This window comes from Homo sapiens, chromosome 7 (assembly GCF_000001405.40).
Source record: "Homo sapiens chromosome 7, GRCh38.p14 Primary Assembly".
Classification (NCBI taxonomy): domain Eukaryota; kingdom Metazoa; phylum Chordata; class Mammalia; order Primates; family Hominidae; genus Homo; species Homo sapiens.
In genome coordinates this window covers 126,953,973-126,966,163 of record NC_000007.14, presented here as the reverse complement: position 1 = coordinate 126,966,163, position 12,191 = coordinate 126,953,973, and the positions used below count along the sequence as shown (strand labels likewise).

The 12,191-nt window shown below is 38.4% G+C and overlaps 1 protein-coding gene across 24 annotated transcripts in view; it reads left to right on the top strand.

The window, feature by feature from the left end:
- GRM8 (glutamate metabotropic receptor 8) overlaps nucleotides 1–12,191 on the top strand; it is an 814,344-nt gene that overhangs the window by 286,778 nt on the left and 515,375 nt on the right. The window lies entirely within an intron of this gene.

Below are 12,191 nucleotides of genomic sequence, written 5' to 3'. Positions count from 1 at the left end.
GACTTTGCCTCAAAACAAAAAAAAGAACAGCAACAAAAGAAATCTCTGTACCTCCTCCTATACCCATAAATCATTTCTTATATTCTTATGGAGATATATTTTGGCTCTCTTTTGGTTTTAGAGAGTGCTATTTCTTCTGTTTTTATATAATTTGAATGATATTTTTTGAATACTTCCTATGGCCACACATTGTGCTAGGGACTGGAGACAGGAAGATGAAAAGACATGGACTGGCCTTTAGGTAGCTCACAGTCTGGCAAGAAAAAAAAAATCACTCAATTTTCTGCTTATTTATTTATATGCATAAGTGTAATGAGAAGCTAATTACACTTACTTATGTGTAATTACTAATGTCCACAGTGTGCCAAGTGACTCAGAGTGTGGGGTCAGTGGGGATGCCAGTGGTCAGGGAAGGCTTCATAGAGGAGGAGTATACTGAACTTTACTGAATTTTTTTGAGAAAATAAGGAAATAAAGATATATTAGGGAAAAAACCCTTATGGTAGAGAGGGTGTAGGAACTCCAGTCAATAATAGTTTCATAATTATTACATATTAAAGTGATATTTCAGGTATCTTGGGTCAAATAAAATAACTTTATTATACTAAAAATTTAAATAATAATGAAAACTTTTAACCTTTTTAAAAACTTTTTAAAATGTGACTACTAGGAAATATAAAGTTACATACATGACTTGTATCAGATTGCTATTGCAGAACACTAGTCTAGATATATTTTTAATGGAGGGGACAGTGTTTAACAAAATAATTGCTTAATAAATACTTTCTGACCAATTAATTGATAGTGTCTATGTTTTCTATAATATTTGGTACAAATGTTTCCTCTTTCTTTTTTTTAAAATTTAAGTTCTGGGGTACATGTGCAGAATGTGCAGGTTTGTTACATAAGTATATTCGTGTCATGGTGGTTTGCTGTACCCATCAACCTGTCATCTAAATTAGGTATTTCTCCTAATGCTATCCCTCCTCTGACCCCCCAACCGCCTGACAGGACCTGGTATGTGATATTCCCCCACCCTGTGTCCATGTGTTCTCATTGTTCTACTCCCATTTATGAGTGAGAACATGTGGTGTTTGGTTTTCTGTTCTTGTGTTAGTTTGCTGAGAATGATGGTTTCCAGCTTTATCCATGTCCCTGCAAAAGACATGAACTCATCCTTTTTATGGCTACATAGTATTCCATGGTGTATATGTGCCACATTTTCTTAATCCAGTTTATCATTGATGGGCATTTGGGTTGGTTCCAAGTCTTTGCTATTGGGAATAGTGCCACATTAAACACATGTGTGCATGTGTGTTTACAGTAGAATGATTTATAATCGTTTGGGTATATACCCAGTAATGGAATTGCTGGGTCAAATGATATTTCTGGTTCTAGATCCTTGAGGAATTGCCACACTGTCTTCCACAATGGTTGAACTAATTTACCCTACCACCAACAGGGTAAAAGCATTCCTATTTCTCCACATCTTTTCCAGCATCTGTTGTTTCCTGACTTTTTAATGATTGCCATTCTAACTAGTGTGAGATGGTATCTCATTGTGGTTTTGATTTGCATTTCTCTAATGACCAGTGATGATGAGCTTTTTTTCATATGTTTGTTGGCTGCATAAATGTCTTCTTTTGAGAAGTGTCTGTTCATATCCTTTGCCCACTTTTTGAAGGGGTTGCTTGTTTTCTTGTAAATTTGTTTAAGTTCTTTGTAGATTCTGGATATTAGCCCTTTGTTAGATGAGTAGATTGCAAAAATTTTTTCCCATTCTGTAGGCTGCCTGTTCACTCTGATGATAGTTTCTTCTGCTGTGCAGAAGCTCTTTAATTAGATCTCATTTGTCAATTTTGGCTTTTGTTGCCATTGCTTTTGGTGTTTTAGTCATGAAGTCTTTGCCCATGCCTATGTCCTCAATGGTATTGCCTAGGTTTTCTTCTAGAGTTTTTATGGTTTTAGGTCTTACATTTAAGTCTTTAATCCATCTTGAGTTAATTTTTGTATAAGGTGTAATGAAGGGGTCCAGTTTCAGTTTTCTGCATATGGCTAGCCAGTTTTCCCAGCACCATTTATTAAATAGGGAATTCTTTCCCCATTTCTTGTTTTTGTCACGTTTGTCAAAGACCTGATGGTCGTAGATGTTTGGTGTTATTTCTGAGGCCTCTGTACTGTTCCATTGGTCTATATATCTGTTTTAGTACTAGTACTATGTTGTTTTGGTTCCTGTATCCTTGTAGTATAGTTTGAAGTCAGGCAGTGTGATGCCTCCAGCTTTGTTCTTTTTGCTTTGGATTGTCTTGGCTATGTGGGCTCTTTTTTGGTTCCATATGAAATTAACAGTAGTTTTCTCCAGTTCCGTGAAGAAAGTCAATGATAGCTTAATGGGTATAGCATTGAATCTATAAATTACTTTGGGCAGTATGGCCATTTTCATGATATTGATTCTTCCTATCCATGAGCATGGAATGTCTTTCCATTTATTTGTGTCCTCTCTTATTTCCTTGAGCATTGGTTTTTCTCCTTGAAGAGGTCCTTCATATCCCTTGTAAGTTGTATTTCTAGGTATTTTATTTTCTTTGTAGCAATTGTGAATGGGAGTTCACTCATGATTTGGCTCTCTGTATGTTACTGGTATATAGGAATGCTTGTGACTTTTGCACATTGATTTTGTATCCTGAGACTGCTGAAGCTGCTTATCAGCTTAAGGAGATTTCGAGCTGAGACGAAGGGGTTTTCTAAATATATAATCATGTCATCTCTTTCTAGTTATGTATATTTAAAATAATTCAGATTCAATTGATAGTTATTGATTGCATGTGTTGGGGAAATTACTGGGCTAAGAAAAGAAATAATGTTCATTATGGAAACAGAAATAAACTGATGATTGTATGGTATCAGATATGCAAAAATGAAATAGAATATGCAATTGGAAATGAATAGTCACTTGAATCTGGCCAAAATAAAGAGAAATTGATAATATAGAGAGCCTTATTTTTGTCATTATGGTCTCACGATAAGGCAAGTAAAATATTTTTTTCTAAACTAGAGTCTATCCTGTCTTGAAAAACAAACAAACAAAACTCAGTGAGTTATTTGGTTTGCATGCAGAATAGTTGAATAAATTCATTGATGTAAACACAGGTAATGTATATGTATATTTACAAAGTTGGACAGAGACATATAGGAAGAGAAGTTAGGGTCAAAGATCTCTAAGTTTTCATTAGTGGAGAGGTGACTACAGAATTGAAGACTTTAGAGAACATAACCGTCTTGAGTACTAAGCACAAAACTTAGTTTCTGCGGGTAAGTGCACGGGAACAATCTGACCTATAGGGCAAACCACTGGCCAGAGCAAATATGTGGGTTGTGGTAGTAAAACATTTACTGCGGGCTTAGCTGATCATGTTATCATGGTGGGCAACATTTGCTCTAGCTGTAGGTATTCAAAGAAAACAATGTTAAGTGTTTTGAGCAAGCTCTTATTGAAGAGGATTGGTTAAAATTGGAAATTGCTAACTGAGCTATTAAAAGGCACAGTATCTATAAATCAATTAAGGTGCATTATATTCTACTCCATTGCCAGTATTCATTTAAACATAAACTTCTGTGTGTTCTACTCACAGTAATACAAATCAAATGTTTAAGCTACTTTAACTAATTTTATAGTGTTTGTTTTTTGTTGAAATATATTGAAATAATTTTCTGGTAAGCTTGAAGGGAAACAAATTTGTATTCAACAAATTCCTGGTGCTATAATCTTATTTTTGCTTTGCTTTTCACATCTTGACCATATGCAGCAGCATGGGGGCATTGTAAAAAGCTGGGCTTTGGCATTTGAACATACCTGGTCTGAATAGTGTCTCTACTACTGATTGTTTGACTTTGGCCAAGTCACTTAATCTATCCAAGCCTCAATTTGCTTGACCCTAATACCTACCCTTACAGGGATGTTAAGGGAGAAAATATAAAATGTATTGCTTAGCACATAATTGTTGTTTTATTTTTTTTACAAGGTTGAAAAGCATTCTGAGCAGGACAGTTAGTTTTGTATAATAGAAAATGTAATTAAAATGAACATTGTATATATGAACAATATTATTTTTCTGGTCCCAGGGTTTGGAAGGAGGAGAGAAAGAGTGTAGGGAAGAAGGTTAGGAGAGGGGAGAAGGGAGCCCATGGCAACAGCAAAGAAAGCTGCTTCATTTCTAGTTGGAGCCATTGGAGGGATCAAGTCTCCTCTATGCTGGATACAGAGAAATACTTAGAACCAGTACAGTTGAGAGAGGAGGAACAGCAGTACTGGGTGATTCTCCTTTAACTGGAGAACAGGCCTCAGCTTTGCCTGACTATCAGATGTCCAATCAAAAAATGTGTGAAGAAATAAGCACTTCTCTCTCTCCTCCCACGAGGCTTGTGATGGGCACAAGTGCTTTCCTTCAGGCTCCTGGGCCTCTACTCATATGCTGCCGGAGAGATAGTATGAAAACAGAACATGTACAAAGCATCCGTTCTTGGGATCTGCTGTGTCTGAGAGCACCTGCTCTGTGGTGAGGCAGGAGTAGAGCCAGCAGCAGGCCACTTAAGCAGAGTGTGGCACATAGTAGGATCCCATGGTGCTGACAGGACTAGAATGAACGCACACATCCCATAGTTTACAGGCCCCATGAGTATCTGTAGCATAAACAATTCAAGCTTTATTCTAGACAAATGAGACTCTTGTTATATTCACTTACACACGGTGATGGTATAAGAGAAGAAAAGAGAATGGAAATCAATGATAAATTAAGCAAAGGGTATTAACTTCCAAAAGACAAGCCCTTTAAATGCCTCTCAAAATTCTGCATTTGCTTGTTTTACAAAACCCTTTGATCAATGAAATGCAGTAGGTGAGGAGTTTCACACTTAGCAATTCTTTCTCCAAAGCCTATTTAGGATGAACCAGAAAATCTTTCACTTTTTTTTCCCAAGCTTAACCTTTTTACATAGAGAAAGGATTTCTGTTATCTTCATTTAAAGTAAGACTTAGATAACTAAGATCAATTGAGTTTTGAGAGCTATACACTTTGTCCTTTAGCTATGATAATATGGTCAGAACTGTCTTTATGAAAATGAAGAAGGAGAATTGTTTGATGTATGAATATTTTCAAGAGCAGAACTGACTCCAGTTCTGGGCATCACATTTGTTTATATGTCAGTCATCCATAATGATAAAGGAGAGGTGTCTCCTGAAGGTGGGAATGTTCTTTGCTGAATTTTAAGTATTGCTAAACCATTTAGCAAGGGGATTTGAGATCCCACTCAATTCATATAGAAAGTGGGAATAGCAAGAAAAGAACAATATTAAATGGCACTGCTTTCAAAACAGGAATAGCCTGGATTTTAAAAACTTAACTGCTTCAAAATGACATAGTCCAATACCATTTGCATATTTGAATTCAAATCTTTTTTACATGTATCTGGGGAAATAGCATCCAAAAATAGTTTTTCTGGGTCTAGAACAAAGCCAAATCTAGGTATTAGTCTAAGGCTACAAAATTATTTTCTTATGTCTGCCCAAAATAAAGATGATTGCCTCTCCTTCTCCCCTGATAGGATCTCCTTTGAACATATTACTTTATACAATAAGTTTTATTCAATTCTAAACCAACATTCTAAGAATAGTATAGTCTTTGGGCCATAATGTTAGTTTATTGTTTGTTCATTCTTGTTGAAACAAAACATTGTCTACCTTTTGATAATGAAAACTATTTTTCTGTTTTCTGCATAGTTTCAAAACCCAAGTCATCTGAATTGTGTTTTTTAGAGGGAGTATTTTTTTCCCCTGGATTTTCGAAGAAGCCTGAATAAAACAGTATTGCATTAGTAAATTGGTTTTCATTTGTACAGACTTATGCTAATTGTGACTTTACCTGAGTCTGTTTTGATGACAAAGATGATATATATTTGCAGGAGATTTCTTTTTTTTCCCTCACCACTAGTTGCCAGAATCTTGTCAGAGTAGAAAAATTGGAAGATTGATTAGTGTCGTTTTCTTTTTCATTGATTTACCTGGGTTTCTGGCTGGCTGATGAATGTGTAGCATCAGGTGCTATGGATTATGTGTGTGTGAAGAAAAAATAAAGAGCTCAATAACAAAAATAATAAATTCTACCCTTTCTAATGCTTACAGTTTGATAGGCATTGTAATAATTACTTCATACACATTATCTCTTTTAATCTTTGCAACAACTGGCTCTTACAGATGAGGAAGCTGAGTTTAGAGAGGATAATTAATTTATTCAGTGCCATGCAGCTAACAAGTGATGAAACTGGTTTTGCCTTAGGTTTATCTGACTTCAGAACCCAGGCCAGATGGCTTCTGATCAAATTATGACTTAGGATCAAATTAAATTCAAGATATCTGAGCCTACTGCTTTACTAGGAATCATGGGGGATGCAAAGACCACAAGGAATTTAGGGTCCTTTAAAGGAAAAAATAAATGTGTGCAAATAATTAAGTAATAATTGGTAAGCAAATTTTTGCAGGTGAGTTTTAGATTTTTTTCCCTTGAAGGTAGCCCTTTTTGCTTGAAATCTCTGCACCTGTCAACCCCAGAAAGTATACATTTTCCTTGCAAAAGCTGAGTCCCATTTCCATTGTTCAAGCTAAATATGATGAATATATAAATTTCCATGACTTCTAAACCCTGTACAGTGTTATTATCTCTCAAATAAGCAATCAAAAATAGTCTTTAAATCATCTCCTTTATTCCTCAAGTTCACTGCTGCCAAATTTTGCTTCTAAACACTCCTCTATCCCTCTCTTCTACTTCTCTAATGTGGCTTTAGCTCGGGGACTTCCATGTCTGGTTTGGTCAATTGTAGTTTTCTTTCTGTAGTATTGTAGCATTGGGCACTACTCTCTGCAGACTGTCCTTATTGCCTCTTATTATTGTGGTGTTTTTCTTTCAATTATAGGTTCTACCAAGTCAGTCTTTAAAATTTTTGTGGATTCACAAGACCCTGTGTATTACAGCTAATAGTCTTCACTCTCTGCTTCAAAGTCTTTTTCCCAGGGTTACTCTGTTAAAGCTCATTGGCCTCATCTCCTTTTATCTTCCAGATTTCTCCTTCCTTCTACCCAGGTTAAATTTTTTCCATGTTTCTGAAGCTTGTTAGAGAGTCAACAAAATGAAATATGAGTTTAAGTATATCCTTTGTGATGGTTACAACCCCTCACAGTTTTGATAACATTGGGCAGCTTTACTGAATGTACTTATATATGAAATAAACTGGGTAGAGTGTTGATTATTTGGTATATCTGCACATGAGATTGAGAGCGGGGAAGAAGTAGAGAAAACCCTTAATATAATAATAGATTTGGATCTTTTCCCTTTAGATTATTCTTTAAGGGAATGTCACAGGATCCTTGGGGTGTCACTTTGCCAGCCGGAAGCCTCAGTGGTGGGTGGTGCCTTCTGCCTGAGTATTACTTGCTCCCACAGGGCCTGTTATGCCCACTTGTCCTGATAGGCTGAGCTCGGCCCACGCTACCAGTCTGGATCCCACACCTGCTAAGGGCGGGCCGGGCGAGGAGTGGCAGGGGGTGTGTGAACAAGCGAGCGTTGGATCCAGCCACTGCGCACAGCCAGGCGCGCTGGCTGCCGCAGTGGGGCAGGCAGCTCCAGGCGCCAGCTCTGTGCAAGGCTGCGGCTGGACCAGACATACCGCAAGCGGCTTCTGCTGTGGGCACTGGTATTTGGGCAAGTGGAACGTGGTGGCACTTGAAAGCTTGGAGACACTAGGAACTGCAGAGCCCCTGGCTCAGGGAGCCCCTAGGTCTGGGCTCCCCGAAGGGCTGCAGCTCTTCTCACCGCCTGCAATGTGGTGAGTGGGGGGCGTTTTTCAGCCCTGTCTGTGGTACAGCTCTTTCAGTCCCACCATTCGGTGGGTCCTGAGTTCTTGTCCCACATCCAGGAAGAATGAAGTATGTGGACTACTGGAGGATGAGCAAGGCAGAGAGGAGCTTCATTGAGCAACAAAGCAGCTCTCAGGAGGGTAGCTCCTTTCTGCAGGCAGGTCACCTCAACAAGTTGAGGAGACCCCTGAGACCCGAGACACCAAGTAGGTGGCTCCTTCCTGCAGTTGGTAATCCCAATGTCTGTCTAAGACTGGCTGAGTCCAGGAGTTTTTATGGGCACAGAAGGGAGGAAGTGTGTGCTGGTTGGTCCATGGGTGGCCATGGATGGGCCCAGAAAAAGGACCTAAGTTGTCACTTCTGGCTGCGGACTCCACCTGGAATGGGCAGCCCTGCCCCCGGGCTTCAGGGCATCCCTGGCTTGTAAGTGGGCGAGGATCCACCCCTTTCTGCTCTCAGCCTGTCTGCTTCCTGCCTCTGTTCGTGGTACCCAGGCTATTCATGCCGAGGGGTGCCTGCAGGCCCACACTGAGCCACCGCCATCCCCCAGCCTCCCTCCTATGCTTGTTGGTGCCCAAAGTCCAGAGGGGGCTGAGGCAGCAGGGGCCTGGCATGTCAGTGCTGCTTTCAGTGCACGCATACCCAGCTGAGTTGCAACAGTGCCTGGGCTCAGCTGCAACTTTACTCTGCACTCGAGCCGGTGCTGGGAGCAGAGAGAGGCCAGGGATCAGGAGCAGGCACTTCTGAGCCTGCGGGGGTCGTGGGGTACTCCCATGCCCCTGAGAGAGCAGGGATGCCCAGTCTGGAGCTGCAGCTGGGTGGCTGCAGCTGCGCCCAGAAGCATGGGACTCCAACTCGGTAGGGGATGGGGCTCCCACCTATTCCTGCGGAGCCTTCCCCACTCAGCTGGTGTCCCTGCCACAGCTGCTCCAGACAGGCTGCTGCTGCCATCAGGAAGAGACCTCATGGTTATGTAATTGTTGGGGGAAAGTGGAAGAGACTTTTATATTAAAGGTTTTTGACTTTTTTTTCAGTTACCATGCTTTAGTGCTTATTAATTTTTTTTTTAACTCTGTGATTGAGATCTTCCTTACCTTCCAGGCACAAGCTCCCTCTACATCAATGTAGTAGATACATTGCAGCATCTATGTCTGTACCAGTGTAGTAGTCTAACTTTATTAGGCTCCAGAATCAGCTGTGGAACTTTAAAAAAGTGTTCACACCGTGGTCCTGTCCCTGGGCTTCTGATTTGTTACCTAGAGTTGAAAAACATTCATGTACTCATTAGAAGGTCTTTCATTGCGTAGATTATTTTTCTTTTTCTACATCTGTGTTTATAACTAATTCATGGTAATAGTCGGCTCTGTATTGAGTGAAATGTTCCATTATCAGAAGAAAAGATAAATTTTGTAAGTTGAAAGAATAAAGTTTGCTTCTCATGTGTTCTATGCTGAATTCTGACAAGATTCATGTCTTCTCATCACAAGCTATTGATCTCTTCCTATTTTGTGCTTATTGTTTTTCCCTGTTCATGTTCCTGTCAGGTTAATAATGAAAGTATTAGAAAATAATAAAGAAGTCAAGTTGTAGCCTCTTCAGTTCTCTCTTCATTTTAAGGGGGAGAGGGGAGGGATAGCATTAGGAGATATATCTAATGTTAAATGACGAGTTAATGGGTGCAGCACACCAACATGGCACATGTATATATATGTAACAAACCTGCACGTTGTGCACATGTACCCTAAAACTTAAAGTATAATAAAAAAAAGGGAATGTTGAAAAAGAGCAAATTGAAACTTAGCATTTATTGAATACCTACTGTCAGACACTATTCTTATTCATAATGCTGTGTGTAATCAAACAAAACTGGTGAGATAGGCTTGGTTATTTGTCTTTTTCCAATGAAACTGAGGCTCAGAGAAATAATATAATAGTAAGTGATATAGTGGATCCTTGTAATTCCACAATACATGATCTTTTTTTCTCATCATTGCCTCTTTGGACACCTTCAAACATTAAAGGTGGTCATATATGCATGTTTCTTCTCCTTTTTCTTAAAACTGACAGTATCCCAATTTTAGAGTGATAAACATAGATTAAAATATTTTACATATACATTTTTGTTCCCAAAGCTTTAAAGTGCTGTTTATATTTTAGGTAGTTGATAATATACCAAAATTGGTCCCTCTCTGTTGGACACGTCAAATTCGTGCTTTCTGTTGGACACATCACATATACATGTGCAAAGGGTGCCATTTAATTTACTCACTCTTGAACTTGACCATCCAAGTTCTTTTTTAAAAAAACATTTAAAATGGGAATATCATCTCTAGAAAAGAAGTCCTATAATCACTAGGAAAATCCCCCATAGCAAACATCAGTGTGTACTCATTAAGTTGACAAAGTTGTCAGGCTCTCTTATTAAGGAAATAAAAAAACTCCTATCGAGATCCACATATTCTTTAAACACTATACAATTAAGCAGCACTGTAATGCAGAAAAAAATCATTAAAATGTTAGAATCTGGAGTTTATCTGATTGAGTAGGGGAAAAGACCCATTGGGATTTGTTAACAGGAAGATAGATTTGAATTGACAGGAATAATTAATCTCTTGAGGCCAGATAAAGAAAAGGAACCCATTTGAGCCTATGGAACACCCTCAAATACCTATAAATACTAGCTATAAAGACAATAAATCATTTATGTTGACCCTTGCTCCTGCAAAAGAGAGAATAGTTTTTGCAAACTGCTGGCGTAACTGGTGACTTGGAGTCCCTTTTATTTATTTATTTATTTAACTTCCTAGTCAGCAGAAAGAATGAGTTGATAGCGATTCAAACAATTTTTATTGAGAACTTTTCTGCAGTTCTAGTTTTTGCATCCAGCCAAGAGGAAAATGTTATTTTACAGCCTTTGTATTGGTGTTGATGGGTTCTTAGCTGACTTCTTGAAGAAATGAAGGTGGGAGAGGTAGATAGGACACTTCTAAGAGAAGAGCTTAAACATTGGCTGTTATCCAGGCATGGGTAATCTTGCCTCTAGACAGAAATATTTTACTAGAGGTCACTGTCATTCCTTTTTTAAAAAAGGCTAGTAATAAATGTGTTCTTAATTTACATATACACCTTTTCCTCATTTTTGTTTGGGCTTATCTTAGTTGTTTCACTCTTATTCTTTTGCCTTTTATTCTGAATTGAAATGAAAAATGAAATGTGTAAAACACTGCAAGAAAATTCTGCAAGCTCTCCTCATTCTGAAGCCTGACAGTAATTATTATTTGGGGATTACAGGAAAATCTTACAGTGTAATTTAGAGATTCTTAATTTATTCACAGACTCTTCTTCTTTCTCTACCTTGCTTAGCAAAGATACTGTCTTTCCGATAAAATCTAAACTTTGTTTATTAACCTGTTTCCTCTTTCAACAAATATTTTTAATGCAAACAGTAATACTGCAGTAATTACAATAAAAGCAAGCATGTATTGAATACATAGTATATTCCAGGTACTGTATAGATTATTTGATTTACTCTTCACAACCACTCTATGAGAAAGTTATTGTTATTATTATCTCAGTTGACAGATGAGGACATGTACAGTAAGGACATTAAATTGCTTCAGTAGCACAGTTAGAAAGTAATGAATCTATATAAAAGTCCAGGTCTGGAAATTAAATTGTAGCATTAGTCACCTATTTCTCATAAGGGGGAAGGGAAATACCAATTAAAATACAGGTTAGATTTGAATTTCAGATAACAAATAATTTTTAGTATAAGTATGTCCCAAATATCGCCTGGGACATGGACACCCTATATTGCTATTTGCTAGACTTAGCAACCCTAGGAACACATTGGATTATTTGCAGAGTCCATTTTGAGCCAGAAGTTATTTCCAGGGCATGTAGCCCTACTGTCTTAGGATTCAGGGGAAAGGCTTAAGGGTCTTCAGATTTTCATGTCCCCGTGACTGGCAATAAAGTGAGATTTATGACCTTGCCATGCTGCCTTTTTAACTCCTCAGCAGTTTTTCACTTGACTTCCAAGGAAGTTTGCCTTTGATATTTCTAAGGGTGTGTGTCTCCTACCTGTTTTCTGAATTGTTATCTGGAAAGTACATCTTAGCAAACAGTTTACCAATAACAACATGAAGAGAAGTAGAGGCAGGGAAGAAGAAAGCAACAAGGAAAAGTTCCTGGCTGCTCTGTGTGCCAGCGTTGTGCAACATTCTTTCCATATGGCATCTCGTTTGGTAGAAACAAGAGGCATGAGTATATAATAGTGTATATT